At 41.0% G+C, this 21,804-nt stretch overlaps 2 pseudogenes across 2 annotated transcripts in view; one reads left to right on the plus strand and one right to left on the minus strand.

Moving 5' to 3' along the window:
• Positions 1-5,400, plus strand: TCAF2P1 (TRPM8 channel associated factor 2 pseudogene 1; annotated as a pseudogene). Its single transcript, NR_110549.1, has 5 exons — positions 1-992; positions 1,600-1,697; positions 2,975-3,188; positions 3,528-3,767; positions 4,677-5,400. The product of NR_110549.1 is annotated as a TRPM8 channel associated factor 2 pseudogene 1 (transcript).
• LOC154761 (family with sequence similarity 115, member C pseudogene) overlaps positions 1,979-21,804 on the minus strand; it is a 24,750-nt pseudogene continuing 4,924 nt past the window's right edge. Inside the window, 1 exon segment of the transcript NR_015421.1 lies at positions 1,979-3,790. The product of NR_015421.1 is annotated as a family with sequence similarity 115, member C pseudogene (transcript).

The raw sequence follows: 21,804 nt of genomic DNA on the forward strand, positions 1-21,804 counted from the left end.
GTATGGGGAGGATGTCAGGCAGGACCAGCAGCAGCTCCTGGAGGGGATCTCAGAGCTGGACATCAGGACAGGGAGAGTCCCCTCACAGCTGCTTGTACATGGAGCCCTGGCCTTCCCTCTGGGGCTGGATGCCTCACTCAACTGCTTCCTGGCGGCTGCTCACTATGGCCGGGGCCGGGTGGTCCTGGCTGCCCACGAGTGCCTGCTCTGTGCTCCCAAGATGGGGCCCTTCTTGCTCAATGCGGTGCGCTGGCTGGCCAGAGGCCAGACAGGCAAAGTTGGGGTGAACACAAATCTAAAAGATCTGTGTCCTCTCCTATCGGAGCATGGCCTGCAATGCAGCCTGGAGCCCCATCTGAACAGCGACTTGTGTGTCTACTGCTGCAAGGCATACAGTGACAAGGAGGCTAAGCAGCTGCAGGAGTTTGTGGCTGAGGGTGGGGGGCTGCTGATTGGGGGCCAGGCCTGGTGGTGGGCCTCCCAGAACCCTGGCCACTGCCCCTTGGCTGGCTTCCCTGGTAACATCATCCTCAACTGCTTTGGCCTCAGCATCCTGCCTCAGACTCTCAAAGCAGGCTGCTTCCCCGTTCCCACCCCTGAGATGAGAAGCTACCACTTCCGCAAGGCGCTCTCTCAATTCCAGGCTATACTGAACCACGAGAATGGGAACTTGGAAAAGAGCTGTCTGGCAAAGTTGAGAGTTGATGGTGCAGCCTTCCTACAGATTCCTGCGGAGGGGGTCCCTGCTTACATATCCCTGCACAGGCTCCTGAGGAAGATGCTACGAGGGTCTGGCCTCCCAGCTGTGAGCCGGGAAAATCCAGTTGCCAGTGACTCCTATGAGGCTGCGGTGCTCTCCCTGGCCACTGGGCTGGCTCACTCTGGAACTGACTGCTCCCAGCTGGCCCAGGGGCTTGGCACCTGGACCTGCTCCTCCAGTTTGTACCCCTCAAAACACCCCATCACCGTGGAGATCAATGGAATCAACCCAGGTATGAAAACAGGAGAGAGTGCCCAGAACATTAAAGATGTAGGGGAAAGTGGGATTGGCTGACACTACACAGGACATTGCAGGTACCTACCCTCAGGAAGATTGACCCCATTCTTTTTTTTTTTTGAGACAGAGTCTCACTCTGTCATCCAGGTTGGAATGCAGTAGCGCGATCTCAGCTCATGCAACCTCCACCTCCTGGGTTTAAGCAATTCTCCTCTCTCAGCCTCCTGTGTTGCTGGGACTACAGGCACACGCCACCATGCCTGGCTAATTTTTGTATTTTTAGTAGAGAGGGAGTTTCACCGTAAAGGTAAGGCTGGTCCGGAACTCCTGACCTCAGGTGATCCACCTGCCTTGGCCTCCCAAAGTGCTGGGATTACAGTCGTGAGCCACTGGGCCCAGCTGACTCCATTCTTCATCAGGTACTTTCAAGAAGATGGGGATTGGGACACTGCTTAAGGTTTAGAGGGGATGAGTCTAAGAAGTATGGATGACTTGAGATACACAGGGGAGAAGCTGTACCACTGGGAGGGGCTGGGAGGCCCCAAGTGGAGATATACTCACATAGGAAGGAAGAACTGAGCCTTCTCTGTGACTTTTGTCAGGCAACAATGATTGCTGGGTGAGTACCGGGCTCTACCTCCTGGAAGGACAAAATGCAGAAGTCTCACTGTCTGAAGCTGCTGCCTCTGCTGGCCTGAGGGTAAGGTCTGAACACCCACATCTGCCACCTCTCAAAACCGTAGAGCTGTGTCATTCTCATCCACTGTCTAGTTCCAGCTCATGGCAATGCTGCCAGGAGTACAGAGATGGATTATTCTGCCCATTTTACAGATTTTACAGATGAAGCAGCTAAATTTCAGGGCATCTAAGTGAGTGACTGAAGTGCCTAGTGTTATCAAGCAAGAGAAGCTCACTGCAGAATGGACTAGAAGCCAAAACTATGACACTTGAGTTTTTCACCAAAAAAAAAACAAAAACAAAAACAAAAGAAAACATTTTATTGCAATTTGATTAACAAGGAGACAGGAGCCCAGCTCAAATCTGTCCCATTGTACTTATTTTAAAGAGTTATTTTAGTAGAAAAGGTGTAGGGAGTGGATTCTGTGATTAGTAGGTGATTGATAGAAAGAAAAGGAAGGGCTGGAAAATCCTCGGGCATGGGCAGTTACCTCTTCATGCCTCCTCATGGGTCCCATGTGCAAACTCAGAGGGAGTTAGTATGAAACATGCGGTACAAATTTAGGCTGTGTGTCAGCAAGCTCATTCTGCACAAACTCTGGTTTTATCTCTTTATCTTGACACCTGAAGGGTGTGCATAATCCCATCACTCCCCAAAATATGCCCTACATGCAGAATTTAAATTCATCCTGCCTCCTTGACTCTGAGGGCCACTTCCTACCACAGCTAGGGTCCCTTTTCTGTCAGCATTCTTTCTGGAGCTTGCTTATATCAAACCTAAGAAAAGCAACTCCAGGACTCCAGACAAAACAGATCTCCACCCATCTGGCGGCCAGAAAGGGAAGCTCTGGGCAAAGAGGGAGAGAGAATCAACCTCACTCACTCTGGATGGGCCTCCTGTGTGTTCACAGAGGACAGAGCAGAGTCCCCCAGCTCATCCTCAATATCAGCGTCCCCAGACTGGCTTAGGTCCTGCTAGAAGAACCCAGGATTTTGCCTGGCAGAAAGACACAAGACCTTTGCCAGGATCAGCCTGGTCTCTCACCAATTCATGTCAGGTGAAGACTTATAGTGGAGCTGTTTAAATCCTTAGAAAAATGATTTTAAATGCCTTGAAGTCCAAATGACTTTGGAGTGCTAAAATTTCATAAGTTTCCATGCCTAGCACATAGAAAAGGGAAGCTGGGGTTTCATGGGCATGTTTGTCTAATACCTTCCATCTACACAACCTCACACGCACATCACAAAGCATCACAAAGACTCTAATTTCTCCAACGCTTGGTGGAATCACCTGTCCAGGTACAGATTGGCTGCCACACCGATGACCTTACCAAGGCCAGGAAGCTATCTCGAGCCCCCGTGGTGACTCACCAATGCTGGATGGACAGGACTGAGCGGTCAGTCTCCTGCCTCTGGGGCGGCCTCCTCTACGTCATCGTGCCCAAGGGCAGCCAACTAGGCCCTGTGCCTGTCACTATCAGGGGAGCTGTGCCTGCCCCATACTACAAGCTGGGTAAGTGGAGTGAACATTTAGGGAGGAGGAAGAGTGGCAGATGCCGTGGGAACTGTGGGGTGGTTGCTAAATGGGAGAGGGATGAGCTTTGGTGGAGAGAAAGAGGAAGAACTGTTGGGAGGGAACATGGAGGCAGAAGATACGGAATACCCTGTGTCCATGGAGACTTCAGGGCAGACAAAGAGAAGAGTCAGGAAGCCTTTTCTTCACTTTACAGCCTATAGACGCCTGTGATAGTAGTTCATTATTGCAATGTTCTTCCAGAGTTCAAATGGTATTTTTCAGCTCAAGGGAAGTTGGAGAAGTGGGTGTGGTAGGTTCCATGATATTTATTCCCAGGTAAGACATCGCTGGAGGAGTGGAAGAGGCAGATGCAGGAGAACCTGGCTCCCTGGGGAGAGCTGGCCACGGACAACATCATCCTGACAGTGCCAACCACAAACCTTCAGGCCCTGAAGGACCCCGAGCCTGTGCTCCGCCTCTGGGATGAGATGATGCAGGCTGTGGCCAGGCTGGCGGCTGAGCCCTTCCCTTTCCGCCGTCCTGAGAGGATTGTGGCTGATGTGCAGATCTCAGCTGGTGGGTGCTCCCAGGGAATCCTCCTAGTCAGTGGAAACCATGTATCTATTACTTTGCCTTTTATGAATGTCCAAAATGTGTAAGCATAATTTTATTAGTAAAGCAAGGGAAAAAGATATAAAAGACATTGACCATGATGGGGATGAAAGAATGTTTACATGTGAAAAACAAATTATTGACATCTACAAGGTGAGATTTCACTGGATGGTAAAACAATCTCAGAAAACGTTGTATTGGGAATTCATAGATGGCAACCAGAGTCATTTCAAGGACAACATAGAAAATCAACTATTTTCTTCAAACATAAGCCAGAGTTGAAAATGAAAAGAGGAAATACGTAAGGAGGTTTATGGTAAGTACTGAGTGGTTAAAAAGAAAGAGGTACATAGGAAGAGAAATAAGGAACTCTGGATCCCAAATGGGGAAAGTTCTTTGGACCTCAATTTTCATACCTTCAAATAAGGACAAAAATTATCTCTGTCATAGAGTGTAAATTTGGACAAAAGTAGTATACATGGGGAAGAAAGAATGACACTGTTCTAGCCCTCAAGGATCTCAGATCCAGTCAGAGGACATCATATCTCAGACTGACATGTAAAGGACACTCACACACACAAAATGAAGGTGTCGAATTACAGCAAGAATGACTATGTAAAGTATAACCAAATTCTCCAGGGCCAGATTGAGGAGGAGGCCACAACTCAGGTGTGAGAGACTAAGAAGGGGATTAGGTACTATTCAGTTTCTGACCAAGTAGGGGAAAGCTATTTGCTTTCCAATCAGCACAGAGATTCTGCAATTATTGGGGATAACCAGGATGGTGAAGAAACGTCCAATAATGGAGAAGAATGAAGGAGATAGTTTGGGCGGACCCTCCTCAATGCTCATCTCTTCCTTCTGTGTTCCCAGGCTGGATGCATTCAGGATACCCCATCATGTGCCACCTGGAGTCTGTGAAGGAGATCATCAATGAGATGGACATGAGGAGCAGGGGTGTGTGGGGCCCCATCCATGAGCTGGGCCACAACCAACAGTGGCATGGATGGGAGTTCCCCCCACACACTACTGAGGCCACCTGTAACCTTTGGTCAGTCTACGTGCATGAAACAGTCCTGGGGATCCCCAGGGCTCAGGCCCATGAGGCTCTGAGCCCTCCAGAGCGAGAGAGGAGAATCAAGGCCCACCTGGGAAAGGGAGCCCCCCTGTGTGACTGGAATGTATGGACAGCCCTGGAAACATATCTACAGGTACTGAGCAGAAATTCTGGGAGAAGGGGATGACCAGACCCCTCAGTCATGTAGCGACCTGGATCCCAGTAGCTCTCCACCTCCTTCGCCACTCCACCAGCCTGGACCTCCACCTCCCCTGGAAATGAGAGAGACTGGGCCGCAGGGTGGTGCTTCTTGGGTTATACCCCTCTAAGGCAGAGAGAATGGCACCTGTCTCACTCACCTTCTGATTTTGCAATGTAAGAGGAAATGAAAAATATTATGAAAAAAATAGAAATATAGCATATTATTCAAGGGCAGAAACTCTGTTAGACATTCCTGCAGCTGAATCACAGCTCTTGCCCTCATTGGTTTTGTTCTTGGTCTCCTAATAAGTGTTCCATAAATGGTCATTGCTTTGTTTAGTTTTGTTTTATTTCACCTGAGTTTTATGAGTCAAATGAGTTATGCTTTTTTATAATAACGGAGGGTGTCTGCAATGCAGCTGCATTACAATAAGAAGGCATTGTTGGAGACAAATCTGCTAACAAGGGTCTCATCATCCATCACCCCACTTGAAGCCAAAATGATTTAAAATGAAGAGCCAGTCAACCCAATAGTAGAACACTGAATTCATAAAGCAAGTCTACTTCCTGTGAAATAAACACAAATCCCTGCCCCCTCCCCTAGCCCTGCATTGAATGTCGATGTTTTCAAGTTGTCAATGTTGTTCCCCTTTCAGATCTCCTGCAATGTCTCCCACAGCTCTATGGATAGGAGCTGTCTGGCCCACTTTTCACAGAGGCACACACTATTTTAAAGAATTTAAGCAATCTTTCCAGTAGCCCCCATTTAAGTGAAGGACCTAGAACTTAAAATCAGGACGTAATGACAAGCCCCAGGCTTTCGCATTGCCATACCCTCTCTTAGTTTTTTGTGCCTTTCACTAATTTTCTGAAGAGTGAATGTGAGACAGTCCCAGTCAATGAGGTAACTTTGTATTGCATTCATTTCCATATCCTTAGATAGCCAGTCTGGGGGTATACAGGACCACTGACCACAATGGTAGGTTGCCCCTAAACTGTAAGTTTAAGCCCTAATTCTGTCCTAGTCTGCTACCTACTCACTGTGGAGCCCCGAATATCAGTTCTCAATAGCTCTAGAGAGACCAAGTCTGAGACTTGGCCTCAGGATAAACAGGCACCTTCTGACTCCTCTTCCTGCTAGAGGGCTTCTCCCCAGCATCCGTGCCACTGCTGCCTTAGCTCAGGCCTCGTTAGTCTTCCCTCAGTGTATTCCAGTAGCCTTCTAAGTTGTCCCAGCATCTTGCCTCAATCCTCTATGATCCATCTTCCTTACACTCCTTCCAAAATAATGTTAATACTCTGTCTATCAAATGCTTACAGTGTTCTCTAGCACATATAGGGTAAAATCAAAGCTCATTAGCAGGGCATAGGAGGCCCTTCATGACCAGCCTCACCAGCACCTCTAGCTACATCTCCTACTGCTCTCACCTCCACATTTACCCTTCGGCATGCCAACCTGCTTATGGTTACGGACACAGCTTGCTGTTTTGGCTTCTGTGCCTCCCCTTGTTTGCTTCCTGCTGCTGAATCATGCTGGAACATCTTGTCCATTAGCTGTCAAGTCACCTGTCCAAATTCAGCTCTGTTGGCCCTTTCTCTCCTGGACATCGCCTCCTTGATAAACCAACAGTTTTAGCAATGTGTTTATTTACGTGTGTTTCTCCCTTTGGCCAGTGTTCTCTAGAAGGACAAGAGCTCTTAATGATGTTTGCCTAGCACAGTAGCTGGCGGTGTGTGGGTGTCTAATACATGTTAAATGTTTAATAAATGCTTAATTTATTGATGTATTGATTAATAAGTGTCAAAGAGCAAGCCAGTGAGAACAGATGAGCAATAATAAGGATACAACAGTGAGACTCTGAGGTAGGCTTGGCTTCGGTGGTGTTATCTGTCCTTGGGCTTTTATGAGCTACAGTCAGAGAATGCTCATCTATTAAAGGGAGAGTGGGGATGTGAAACCCCAGATCCCCGCTAACTGGAAATTTGTATAATCTTAGTAAACAAGGGCCTTCTGCCAAGGGCTTTCCGGAGAGCTGCCCCTTATGAAGTATGAGCCACTCTCATTAGCTGCCCCTTATGAAGTATGAGCCACTCTCATTTTTAGCCCCTCGAGACAGGCTGGATTTTTTTCTTTTTCTGCCCTAAATGCAGTGTTCTACAGAGCAATTTTGTATCATTGCAGATAGCCACAGGTCCAAGATGGCTATTAAAAAATAAGGATTATTATGATGTCTGGAAAGTATAGTATTGGAGGTTCGCAGCTTTTAGAATCTCAATAGGCCAGATATGTAGGAAGTGAGGGTTTCTCATCTCAGTCAGGCCCAAACCTGTCCTGATGCTGAGGAAAACACTTGAGATCTGGGAAGACAATTGTTTAAAGATACTAATAGTGGACATTTATTGAGTATTTACCTCTATTCAGACATTAGGTTTCCCCTGAGCACCCCCACTAGATTCAGGGGGTGTTGTTTTGTGGCCAAGAGGAGGAATGAGCCAACAAGATTGCATTATTGTGCAGGGGCAGAGTGGGGAGATAGGGGCACATACCCAGGATGAAGGTAACGATTGAGGGGAGGTGATCATGTGAATGAAATATATTTAAGAACGCACATGTCACGTCACTTTTGCAAACTTGACACCTCATTCTGTTCCTTCTTTCCCTTTTCAGCTCCAACAGGCCTTCGGGTGGGAGCCATTCACCCAGCTCTTTGCTGAGTACCAGACCCTCTCTCACCTCCCCAAAGACAACACTGGCAGGATGAATCTATGGGTGAAGAAGTTCTCTGAAAAAGTGAAGAAGAATCTGGTTCCCTTCTTTGAGGCCTGGGGCTGGCCTATCCAGAAGGAGGTGGCTGACAGCCTGGCCTCCCTACCAGAGTGGCAGGAAAACCCCATGCAAGTGTACCTCCGTGCCAGGAAGTAAAGGATGCCCCACAAGGCGGGAGAGAAAAGGCAGGGTCACGCCATCAACTCCACCATGGGGCTTTGGCCGTGTGCTCAGTATCTGGAGCCTGAATCCCGCTTCCAAGCCTGACCACTAGATGGTGGCCACGGTCATAAGAAAAAATGGAACCCCTTTCTGTAAAAGGTGCCTTGTGCTTCTTTTTATTGTTTTTCTGCCTACGCTATTGCTTTCCCCAAGAGACTCACTTCACCTCTTAGTCTTCCAGAGAGGATCTTTCATCCTGCCATCCTGAGGCTTCTATTTTTGACCAATAGCTCTAAAGACCACGGGTTCCCATAACAACCTGATATCCCTTTCTCATCCCTGCCATCCCTGAATAAGGCTTCTAATTTATTATGCTTTAACAAGTTTTCAAATAGCAAGCGAGACACGCTGGAATAGTGGAGAGAGCCCCAAACACTAAATAAGCCAAATTTTGGGGTAAAAAAAATAAAAAACCAAGAAACCAGACATAGAAGCAGAACCTAAAGCATATTTATCAAAATATCTTTGTTTAAAAAAAATGTCTTCAGTGGTCGTCTTGGCTGGTGGGATTTTAGGTCATTTTAATTATCTTTATAAAACTTTATTCTCTCGAATTTTAAAATTAACATCTATTTCTCTTATAATTAAAAATTAAATGTTATATTTTTTAAAAAGTATAGTTTATTTATTCCAGTAGTAAAACATTATTGAAAAATGTAACTCTTGTGCAGATTCTCTTTAATTTCTTTTCAGCATGAAAATGAGGAGATGGCATGTCTTAGTTTTGTCATCCCATTTTCAGACTCACATGGCAAATGTCATAGAGTTCAGGTATCAGTTCTGCCTGTGGCTTTTTGTTACCTGTTGGAACTCAAGATATTTTGGGGAGTTAATGACATTGAGCTACAAGACTTAATAATGAAAAATTCCACTCGAAGTGTTCTTAGCATCTTCTCACAGGCACCTGGCAAAGCCTCAGCTAATGGTAGTAAAACTTCAATATGGAAAGCTGCAGTTACTTGCAGATATCCTCTCCACAGCTAATTAAAATGACTGCATATATTCATCCACATGCCCACACACACAAACTACAGTAGCATTGGGAATCTAGGAAGTGACTAGAATGGTTGACAAAAGCTGCAAGAACCACATAGAATTAAAGAAAAAAACCAACAACTTCTTAGCATAAAGGCAGCATAAATAAAGTTAAAGAAGGTGAGGTCACTGAGAGACAAATATTTGTAACAGACTGAACAGATACAAAATTAGAATTCAGAATATATGAGTAATTTCTAAGGATAAACAGAAAAGCAAAAAACAGAAAATATTTTTAAAGTATATTTTCAAACAGTTCATGAAAGATGAAATCCAAGTGAGATATTCAGCGTTTGAAAAGATATAATCACACAAATGCAAATTATATATAATAACATATTTTACCCAGAAAATTAGTAAATGTTTCAAAAGCTGACAATATTAAGTGTTGGCAAGAGTGTGGAGAAAACTAATCTTTCATAAAAACTGGAGATCATTTTGGCAGTATCCAATAACATTAAAAAGAGAAACAGCCTATAGTAGTATAAATGGAGGCAGTACTAGGAAGTTCATTGCAAATTGTTGGTAATAGTGAAAAAATATGAAGAAGTTAAATGTTTACTAATATGAATGCAAATAAAAATTGGCATTTAATCATATGATGGATTACTATTTATCAGTCAATAAGAATAGGTCCACCTATGTTAATTAACAAGGAAAGATGTTCAAAACATATTTGTTGAGTAAAACAATTTCAAAAATAGCAGAACTTGGTGATGCAACTTATGGAAGACACAATATAAAGCAAAGTAAACATACGTCAATATGTGTCCAAAATGTCAGGGAACAACCACAATAAACTGATAAGAGTGTTTTCTTTTGGATTGTGAGATAGAGAGAAAGGACTGACATTGAAGGAGATGATGAAAAGGGCTTTTGCCTCAATAATTTGTTTCTTCAAATAAGGAGAATGTACAATTATATTTCTCAGGTAATCAAACATTAAATTTAAAATTTAAGATAACTGCTCCAAAAATAGAAGTAAAATGTATAATCTACAAATGTGTTGAGGAAATTTAAGAAATGGATAAAGCTTAGTAGCAACCAAGGAAAAATGTAAAAAGAAATAAAGCATAAAAATAGAAAATAAAATTAAAAGGGGGTAAGAGCAAGAAATACATTTGAATCATCACAGTATATATGAATGCATTGAATTTCCATCTCACAGAAGCTGTCAGATTGGGTTAAAAACATCTGGATATAAGCTGCTTATAAAAGACACACCTGAAACTAAACATAAAAGCATTGAAAATGACAAAATCAACAAAGTTTTATTTTAAAAAATACAAAAACACAAAAGCAGACATATCAGCATTAATAAGGGATGCAAGTGATTTCAAAGAGGAAAAATTAAAAATGAACATTTTCTATGGATTAAAGTTACACTCTAACAAAAATAAAATTTTTATTAATTTTTATGCCCTGCAAAAACACAATACTGAAAGCAAGAACTGCTACAAAGAAAATAAAAATATGAATTGACATTACATTTGGAGATGGTAATGTATTCACAGCATCCATTGGAAAAAAAAAAAGGATGGAGATGATTTGATCAGAATGACTTACAAGCTTACTTACAGCCAGAAGACAATTGTCCTGCATCCTGAAGACAAGACATTGAGACCCTAGAAGGTTGTGTTCTGCTAACTTGTTGCAAAAATATGAAGTAAAAAGGCAGACATTCTCCAACATGATACATTAACTAAAAAATCAATGTGCAGAGCACACACACACACATAGATAAGCATCTGAGATGATCCATGTCAAACTTTTAGGATTGGCTACCTTGGTCCAGAGGCATGAGACTGGAGCTGGTGGTGTGGTGAGGAGGATGAGTTGCCATTTTCCTCTCTATATTTCTGTATTGGTGTGCATTTTTTCAAAATAAACTTGAATTCCTTTTGAAATATTTTCATAAAAAGGCATTTCTTAAAAGAAAACTAAAGAAAGAAAGGAAAGGAGGAAAGAAGGAAGGAAGGGGATGACAGAGGGAGGGAGGGGGAAGGGAGGGGGAAGCAGGGAGGGAGGGAGGGAAAAGTGAGTAAGCATAGCAGTTAGTATATCAGGTAAATTTCAACAGCTGATTTGACAATATCCTAAGGGCAATATTAATGATCTCAGACAGCTAGTTACCAATATTTAAATCTTGTATAATATCTGTTTACAATGTTTAAGTGTGGAAAACAATGAAAGTAGCTGCTCTTTAATAAGGTTTAATATATGTTAGGTATTTAACATATGTATTATCTCTTTCAATCATTATAATAAACCTGAAAGTTACTATTCTCACTTTAAAGATGGAGTTTGGAAAAGCTAAGCAATTTTCCCCACGTTTCCTAGCTAATAACTGGCAGGGACAGGAAGCAAACCTGACAAAGCAGGAGCATCGTCATCTTGGATAAACACCGCTAATTTATGTTTCAGCTCCCTTTCTAGCCCCATGCATTTCCAGGAAATCACTTCTCTTCTAACTACAAGCAGCCGGAAAGAGCAGAACGGTAAAACACAGATGAGACAGCTCGGGCACAGAGGGAGGAGGGAGCAAAGTCTCTTGGGTAACTGCCAAACTTCATCCTCATACAATGGGCCCCAGTTAAACAGTGGGCCTTAATAAGAACATTCCTTTCCCTTTGGGTGCACTAAGTTAGGGAAGTTAAAAGATAGGAAGCTAAAAGTGGGGTATGCCTGCAGCTGCAGAAGGATATATGGGAACAGAGATACAACTCTCCCTCTCAGATAAGCACAACAAAGAGACACAGAAGCAGTCGAGGCCTCTGATAAACTCTCCCACCTTGAATCCTTAAAAACTCTTAGTCTGTAAGGGAGTATGCCTCTGACCTAACTCGGCCAGATGCCCCTCCCATGTTTATTTTCTCTAAATTAAACCTGTCTGTGACTGTCAAGCCACCTTTTGTATTTCTTTCCTATTTCTTTAATTTTTACTAAACCCAGGCTGGCTTGCTTCCAAAGCCACCGTTGTCTACACACCAGAACTCTCTCACTCAATTACTGAGTCTTTGACGGAACCTACATCTGGGTACATGGTTTTCGACAGGTATATCTTGTGCAAAGGAAGCTTTACAGGATGCAAAGGTGCGAACAATACTGTGTTTAAGAAAGGAAAAGCATGTGTTACTTCAGAGCTGGAAGTGCAGGGGAAGCCACTGAGGACTAAAGGAAAGGGATGGGATGGTATGGTTAGGAAATGTTCGCAAACCACATCTGAGCAGACAGGTAACATGGGCGATAGGTTTCTGAATGCCAATTAAAAAACTGCCAAATTAGGAAGGTACAGCACTAAATAAAAAGGTAAGTGTGAAGTGCGCTGCTGTCATTTTCACCATATTGAAGGTAAAACATCTAACAATTTATATATTTTTTCTTGAAAATAAAAGTAATGAAGTCTACTGGTAGTAATCAAATACATCTTCACTTAGCTTGTTTTGTTTTTCTGTTGAGATTGTATAGAATGTAAAAATACTCTTCTGGATTTATTTCACTCTCTGATAAATATAAACAGGACAGAAATACTAGAATCTAGAAACGATGTTTTCTTAGGATCTATAACATCAAAAAAAGGACTAGAGAGAACTATGTTGATCAGATGCTGTAAAAAACATTTTGAAGACCTGCAGCCCCCAACACTTGAGTATCTTTTTTTTTTTTGTATTTTTAATTTCTTAAATACAGATAAATCATAGTAAATAAGAAAACTTTAAAAACTGTCTCCATCATCACTGAACAATATGGGCATTGATAATCAGAGAGGTGCCTTAAAATTGTAAATGTATTTTTTTTCTTTTATTTTAAGCTGGTAAATACAGGGTAAAATCTCTTTAGATCTCAATCATGCCTATTAGACACACAATTTTATTTAAACTATTTAACCTGTCAGATTTAAGAAAATAATTTGGAAAACTCACTTTTGTAACAAATTGCAGGTACAAAAATTACTCATTTGGAATAGTCAGAATACAGATGCTACTCACCTGTGAGCACAGATATATTCATATTTCTATGTCAGACCAAAATCCTGCTTAAACACACAAACATTCCTAACAATGTCATAATGTTTACTCTTTCTCCTGGCTTAATAAACTATATTTCTGATATTATTGGAAGATTATTGTTAGAATTGAAGGAGATAATACAGGTTGAGCAGCCCTTATGGAAAATGCTTGGGACCAACCAATAGTGTTTCAGATTTTGATTTTTTTCAGGTTATGGAATATTTGCATACACATAAGGAGATACCTTGGTGTTGGGACCCAACTCTAAACACAAAATTCATTTATGTTTCCTATACACCTTTACACAGAGCCTAAAGGTAATTTATACAATATTTTAAATAAGTTTGTGCATGAAAAAAGTTTGTGTACATTGAACCATCAGAAAGCAAAGGTGTCCCCAAAGTGGGATTTTCCACTTCTGGCATTATGTTGGTGGTGCTCAAAAAGTTTTGAATTTTGGAGAATTTCAGATTTTTGATTTTTGATTAGGCCTGGTTTCTCCGTCTTAGGGGACCTAATAAGCTAGGCCCACTTCCACCAAACCACAGATGGAACTCACATGGGGAGTTTACACTTGAAAGCTTTTTTTCTTGTCTATCCACCCAATTTGTTCACTTTTCTATGTATTAGAAAGCATTAATGATAACTATTGAATTTGTGATTTTGAATATTTTCTTTCCATTGTACATGGAAGGTTGACTGGTGTTAGGAGATACTCCATCCTGGGCCACCCATCAATCACCTGTTCTCCTTGGCCAGTGCATAGCAATGTATGTCATCATCATAAAAACCTTCCACATCCAGCCATTTATTAATTATTTTTCATTCATTTTGTCAGATTTGGTGGAGAGAGCAATTCTGGGATCTAGTCTCATTTCAGCTTTTACCTGGAAACTACATTCATGGATCTTGAATATAAACCTCATAAACCTTCCACACAATTATCTCTGTCTCTGAGTCAGATTCCCAGGAACCCAAGCTGAAACAAGTGGAATTTAGCAGCGCCTAGCAAAATTACGTATGAATTTCCTCCGTGACTCAGAAATCCCATTTCCAGTGATATGGCAAAATATAATGATACATACACAAAGGTATGTGGTGCTTGTAACTTGGAACTCCTTGGACAAAGACTTTCCTACTCTACAGGACTGTGTTGAGGACACAGAAAATAAATAATTCTCAAGACAGTCATAAACCTAAGCCACTAGTACATATTTACAATTTTTACTTACCAAATAGTGACAGGTTCTCACTATGTTGCTCAGGCTGGAGTGCAATGCGTATTTGCAGGTGCAATTACAGAACACTGCAGCCTTGGATTCCCAGCCTCAAGAGAGCCTCCTACCTCAGCCTCTCGAGTATGTGAGTACCTGTGCATCAGCATGCCCAGTTACATATTTACTTTTATATGGGCAGCTGCTAACATATTTTAGAGCTTGTAGATTATACCGTGTGTAAGTGTAATGGGTGGCTGCTTAGTATCTGAGGTTAACTTTTCTTCCAGACTCTTCTGTCATGGTATAAAGGTAGCAAGTGCCTTTGGATTTGCTTTTAAATATTAAAGCAACTGCAGTATACTCCTGTTATATAAACATAGGTGTGCCCTTGGGGATAGGATGTGAGAGGAGCTTTTGTTGGTGTTTAGAGACTGCCCCACTCCTTGGCAGGCAGAGTTGGGGCAGGCCAGCAATCAATTCTCTTAAGAAGCTCCAGGGCCTTCCAGCCGAGATTTAAAGTTAAGGAACCTGCTGGGTCAGTCCAAGCGCCTTTGACCAATATTTGTGGCAGGAATGTTCACTGAAAACCTCTAATGGGACTTGCTCTGAAGGCGGGAGGAATCTGAGCCAGAGACTCAGACTCTGACCTTCTGAGACTCTCAAGGAGTTGGTTCCCTCTGGCTCTATTGTTGGCTGAGGCTGGAAGGCTCTGGCGCAACCCCCAGCCCTATATTCCATAGTAGGAAGTTGTCTGCAGGATTAACAGTAGTATATGAGGCTGTCTTTTCTCTTGTTATGGTTTTGGATGTGTATTCATTCATATTTTTTCATTAATTTATATAGTTTACAAATATTTGTTGATCTCTAATGTTAAGTACTCCAGGCACTGAGAATAAAGCAGTAAACGCAACAGGCAAGATCATGGAGCTCTATATTCTGGTTGGTTAGACAGGCCCTAGCAAGAAACAGTGGAGATAGTTATAGAGAGTGATAATGTTTAAGGAATAAATGGAGAAATGTGATGAAGTGAAACTGGATGGACAGTCCAAATTTCAGTATGGCCACTGGGGAAGACTGCTCTGAGGAGGGTGTTTGAGTTGAAACTAATTAAGAAGAATAAATTGGATTTTCAAGAGCTGAAAGAAAGTGCAGAATAGGAACAAATATCTTGATATTTTATAAAACAAGAAATCTAATGTTACATGTTGTGGTCTTTACATTGAGGGACAGTTCTAAAATACTTTAAAGATGTGTATGGATAATATATGTTATCGCCAACCCCCCGATACTCAACTAGAAAATATCTGAGTATGCAACAAAGAGGAAATAGTTAAAACAAATTACAGAACTTATGATTAAAAATTATCATTAAAAATATCATATATAAAAATGGGAAAATATTTTTAAGGAGAATACAAAATAGCAGCATGTAATCATAGCTAGCAAAAATGATGTATTGATTTGTAAAGATATGCAAAGATAGAAGATATGTAAGCATAAACATTTTGGTTGAGGACATTACAGAAATTACAAATATTCAAATACTTTAGTGTCATTGTTTTTTCAATAAATGTTTTAATTAATCAAAACTAACAATGTGGGAATTTATTTTTATACAGTATTAGCTGAACTTTCACTACGCTTCTCTTAGTCCTAAAATATGGACTTAAACGCTGTGGGAATTCCAGTGCCTAGAATAGTGTCTAGAACAGGCACTCACATATTTTAGATAAATTAAAACATGGATACAAGATACTAGAAAGAGGGAAAAAAACTGATATGTTAAGAAAATTTGTTCCTTTCTCCTTTTTGTTGGTGAATCAATGAAAACTATAAATGATATCAGGTCAAAGAAAGATATCTTAATGTGATCTGGGGAGAGGTTTTTTATTTTTTAAGGGTTCTGAAAAGGCAAAGAGGTAATATTAAAAATGTCTTTTTTGTCAATTTATAATTATAGAGTATTCGGAAAGGACAAAAATATTTGAAGATGAAACCAATTACCAACTTAGCCCCAGAGACACATTACTAATATTTTATTATATTTTCTTCTAATGTTTTATTTTCCTGGCTATACATATATTGTTTTAATGAATTTAGCATCATTTTAATGCAGAGCTTTATATCTTAATTTTGTCTATTTTATCATGAATATTTTTCATTTCCTTTAAGAAGTCTTTGAACATAGAATTTTTAATGATTGCAAAATTACTCACTCAATCACTCTAGGATATGCTATACCTTATTTAAGCAATCTTCTATTACAGACACGTTTCTTCCAGTGTTCCACTTAACAGTGAAAATATTGCTAAAAAATATTTGCCTCATAGCCCGGCTTCTCCCTGTCTCCAGTGCTTCTTCCTTCACCTTTCCACAGATGCTGATCCTGGGAGCATGCCCTCACAAACCTCCCACACATGTATCTCTATCTCTGAGTCAGATTCCCAGTAACCCAAGCTGCAACAAGGGGGACTTAGCAGTGCCTAGCGAAATTACATATGAATTTCCCCCATGACTCAGAAATCCCATTTCCAGTGATAGCGCGAAATATAAGGATACGTGCACAAAGGTATTCATTGCAGCACATGTGTAACAGTAGAAGTACCAGAAAAATAACACATACTGGAAACTCAAGTGCCTGTCAATAAGGGACTTATTGAATAAACAATATCATATCCATACACCATGGTATAATAGAGTATACAGTGTATCTCTATACATTACTATCAGGCCATATCCAGGAAATAATGTTAAGTGAAAAAAAGTAAGGAGGAAAAAATGTATAGAGTATGTTATTGCCTTATCCAGTGAAGAGAAGACTACTAATATGTGTGTGTTTGTGGAGAATTAAACCACAAAAAATGCACAGAAGGAAGAAGGGAATTGTTTGAAGGAAACAGGGACAGAATATAGGTTTCTTAAGATCTTACTTTGGACCCAGATTACTATTTTACATAATTTTAAACAAAATTAAATTACACAAGCAATTCCAAAACTAAAAAATAAAATAACCAATGAATTGACATGTACATCTGTTTAGCGGTATAACCACAAAGAGCGGAAGTATTGGAAGTGACTTTAAAGATAGTATTTTGACTTTATATATGTATATAATAAAATATATCATTGGGACAAAAAGAACTGCAAGTAATCTTTGTTACAATAATCATCATATTGCTGGTAGTAGTGCTATTATTCATATTTTGCAACTGTTGTTTGTATATCTTGGGATAGAGCAAATGAGTCGTTACATTGGTGTCTTATAGAACCGGAATTTTTCATCATGAGAGATAGGAGATACAGAGGTAAGATTGTTGAAATCAAATTAAAACCCTGTAGCCCCAAATCTGATCCGAAGTATCAAAATATAAACCAAAAATATCTATTTCTTAGCTGTGCCTATTTAGAAGGCCTAGAAACAAAGATCAAACAATGCACAACTCTAACACCCGGACTGGAGTTTCTAAATGCAAATTAGGACTCCCAGAAATATGGGCTGTACGTTAAAAAAAGAAGGAAGAAAAAAATAGGGCTTTTTGGAGAAATGGCAGTTCTGGGCCTGAGCAGGAAATACATGAGATGAAATTGAAACCTCCTGTTATATTAAAAAACCAGGAAGCCCATTAAGGTTGGGTGGAAAAGATTCAGGAATCATCTTGAATTGGCTCCCAATGGCCAAACAGGACAATTTCAACATCAATAAGGATAATAAATGAAACACATTGTGTTTCCAATCATGATTTCATAATAATTCTAAGAAAAATTTAAACACATTGGTGACCTCTGGAAGATGCTAGGGAAACAACTCAATATTGGAAACTGGTTTTAAAATGAGAAAGAGAGAATTAAATATTTATTTTGCCTTTTCTATATAAATTATACCATAGAGTATGTAATTGGTGAAGGAAAGTGTGTTTTATAAAACTATTCCAAATAACAAATAAAAGGAATATTAAAATTTTAAAGCCATCATTTTATAAACACAAATTAATGGGTCTAGGGCTAAGCAACGGTTATTAAGGACTGCCAACCTCACAGTAAGAGAGAAAATCAGACCATTGTGCTCTACCCAGTAGAAGTGCATACTACCACCTATAAAATAGGTCAAAAATTCAAACATGAATCTGATCAAACCTCTAGATCAGGAGCTGAGAAAGTTTTCCTTAAAAGGTCCGACAAATATTTTAGACAAATATGGGCCATATGGTCTCTGCTGAAACTATTCAACAATGGCAGACACTGTAGCTTGAAAGCAGCCACAGTTTGTGAATGAATGGGCATGGCTGTGCTCCAACAAAACTTCATTCACAAAAACAGGGGCTGGCCTCAGTTTGTCAATCCTGACCTAAAATCGAGATCTAACTTTTAATTTGTATTATACAGAAAATACAAGCAAAAGATGAATATGTTAAATCAGTGGTCCCTAACCTTTTGGTACCAGGGACCTGTTTATAGAAGACAATTTTTCCATGGACCTGGCAGGGGTTTCAGGATAATTCAAGTGCATTACATTTATGGCACACTTTATTTCTATTATTAGTACATTGTAACATATAATGAACTAATTATACAACCCACCATAATGTAGAATCAGTGGGAGCCCTGAGCTTGCTTTCCTGCAACTAGATAGCCCCACCTGAAGGTGATGGGAGACAGTGACAGATCATCAGGCATTAGATTCTCATAAGGAGCACACTACCTAGACCCTTTGCATGAGCAGTTTGCAATAGGGTTCGTGCCCCTATGAGACTCTAATGCTGCCACTGATCTAACAGGAGGCAGAGCTTAGGTGGTAACGCAAGTGATGGGGAGTGGCTGTAAATACAGATGAAGCTTTATTTGCTCACCCGCTGCTCACATCCTGCTGTGTGTTCTGGTTCCTAACAGGCCATGGACTGGTACCCCCATATTAAATGATACCACAGGAAGGCAATCAATTTGCCTTTCCAGGTTTTCACCATTGCGCTTCACTGTGCCTGGAATCCTCCTCCCACAGATGCACACATGGCTCATTCCCTGACTTCCTTGAGGTCTACTTTCAAAGTCCAGACTGAAGTAAACTGTTCAACAAAGAGTAGCTGGTGTCTTCAACAACAGCAACAAAACTGCAAGAAATAGAAAGTTGGAAAGGAAACGCGTATCTTAAAAGAGATATAAAATTTGTATCAAGAAATCAAAATATTTGGGTTTTATTTAAATTTCAATGTTAACACTTTTTTTTTTTTTTTTTTTTGAGACAGAGTCTCAGTCTGTTGCCCAGGTTGGTGTGCAATGGCATGGTCTCGGCTCACTGCAACCTCCACCTCCCGGGTTCATGTGATTCTCCTACCTCAGCCTCCCAAAAAGCTAGGACTGCTGGTGCGTACCACCACACCCGGCCAATTTTTTTATTTTTAGTAGAGTGTTGCCACGTTGGCCAGTCTGGTCTCAAACTCCTGACCTCAAGTGATCCACCTGCCTTGGCCTCCCAAAAAGGACTGGGATTACAGGCATGACCCACCATGCCTGGCCCAATGTTAACACATTTTGAAAAATAAGACAATCATGGAAATAAATGATGACACTAAGGAATTATTCTTTTAGGTGTGATAATGATGACTTGCAGTTATGTTTTTAAAAGACTTCATACCTTTAGAGATATATATTTAAATACTTACAGATGAAAAGACATGATGTCTGCTGTTTGCTTCAAAATAATCTTGGGTGGGGAAGAGTGGGGCTACAGGTGAAATAGGACAGACCTGGAGTTGACTATTTTGGGGACTGGGGAATGGCTACATGGGGGTTCATTGTACTATTCTGTCTACTTTTGCATATGTTTAATATTTTCAGTAATTAAGAATTAAAATAACAAACACACAAAATATACCTTAGAATCGGTGGCAGGGATTAAAAATGTAGATATAGATGAAGAAAAACAGGTTGAGTTAGCTAGAGAGGAGAATCCCTTGGGGCAATTAAGAGGCATTATAGTGATGAGATTTCACCTGCTTGTCCCTTCGCATTAGAATAAAAAAGTTGAAGCGAATCAGATCCACTCCAATGTCTCTGAGTAAACCCATCCCCTCCCCAAATCTCTCAGAAGGGAAGGAATTCAAAGAGGTCCAGAGCTTGGGGCTGAGGGTTCAGGGCACTGCCAGCTGCTCACTAGTATCTGTATGCCCCTTCTTCTTTGTACAGCATCTTGATTTCTTCAGAGACGCCAGTGCCCATTTAAAAATAGCCAGCCCTTCAGATCTCCTGGTAGTTAGGTCTGGAAGTCAGGCCTCCCACTGATTCTACATTATGGTGGGTTGTATAATTATTTCATTATATATTAAAATGTACTAATGATAGAAATAAAGTGCATAATAAATGTAATGCACTTGAATTATCTTGAAACTCCTGCCAGGTCCATGGAAAAATTGTCTTCTACAAAACAGGTCCTGGTACCAAAAGGCTAGGGACTACTGATTTAACTAGGCTGGCCGTTAAAATATAAATAGAAGTCTAGGGCTTCCAGGAAATACATGGTTTTATAAACTAAAAGTAGGTGTATCCATTCCAATTTATTATTGCATGGGTGTAATTATGGTGCCTGGAGTAGTAGTGGCAAACTTGTAGCCATAAGGATAAAATAACACACCATGACAGGGTCAGGCAGTGACAGGGAGACAGAGACTGACCATGGGACATCATAGAGTCACTGCCCCAGAGCTGGACTACCTACCTGTACTTCATGTTTCATAGAAAAAATAAACTGCTACATGGTTAATCTGCTATACTAAGGCTTCTGCTACATGTGGCCAAACATAAGTAAGTAGTCACTAATATCTGAAACCTAAAACATCCAAAATGAGACTCCTGATCTCCTCTAATCCATCTTCTCATTGTCCTTTCACAGATCACTAAACAGCAGCACCTGTGTTTAATTTTTGGTCTTTTTCAGACCAAAAATCTCAACTCCTCTTTTTCCTTACTCACTCCATCAGCCAAGCCTGTTGGGTTCTCCCTTTGAGGTGTGTCCAGAATGGAACCTGTTCTCAGTAGCTCCACAGCTTCTATCAGTCTTGTCTGGGCCACCACCATCTCTCCTGTGGTCTACTTCAGTGGCCTCCCGATTGGTCTGCTGCTTCAATCTTTGCCTCCCACAGTCTGTTCTCCACCATCAATCAGAGGGTTCCTTTTGAAATTTAAGTCACATCATAGCAATCTTCTGTAGAGAATACAAAATGTCTTCCCATCTCACTGCAAATAAGGTCTAAAGTTCTACTCCTGGCCTGTCAGTTCTTACATGACCTGAGCTATCATTCACTGAGTTCCCATCATTCTGGCTTCCCTGATTGCCAGGTGTGTCCCTGGCCAATGGATGAAATGAGTACTCAGACACAAGTATGCAGTGTAAGAACAGCTAGGTGACTGCCTGGCTGTAGTGGCCAGAGAGCAGCCCCGAGAAGCTGAAGCTGCTTGCTTTTATTTACTGCAGGCATAATGCCGAAAGCCTGGAGCCTAC

This window comes from Homo sapiens, chromosome 7 (genome assembly GCF_000001405.40).
Source record: "Homo sapiens chromosome 7, GRCh38.p14 Primary Assembly".
In the NCBI taxonomy this organism is placed as follows: domain Eukaryota; kingdom Metazoa; phylum Chordata; class Mammalia; order Primates; family Hominidae; genus Homo; species Homo sapiens.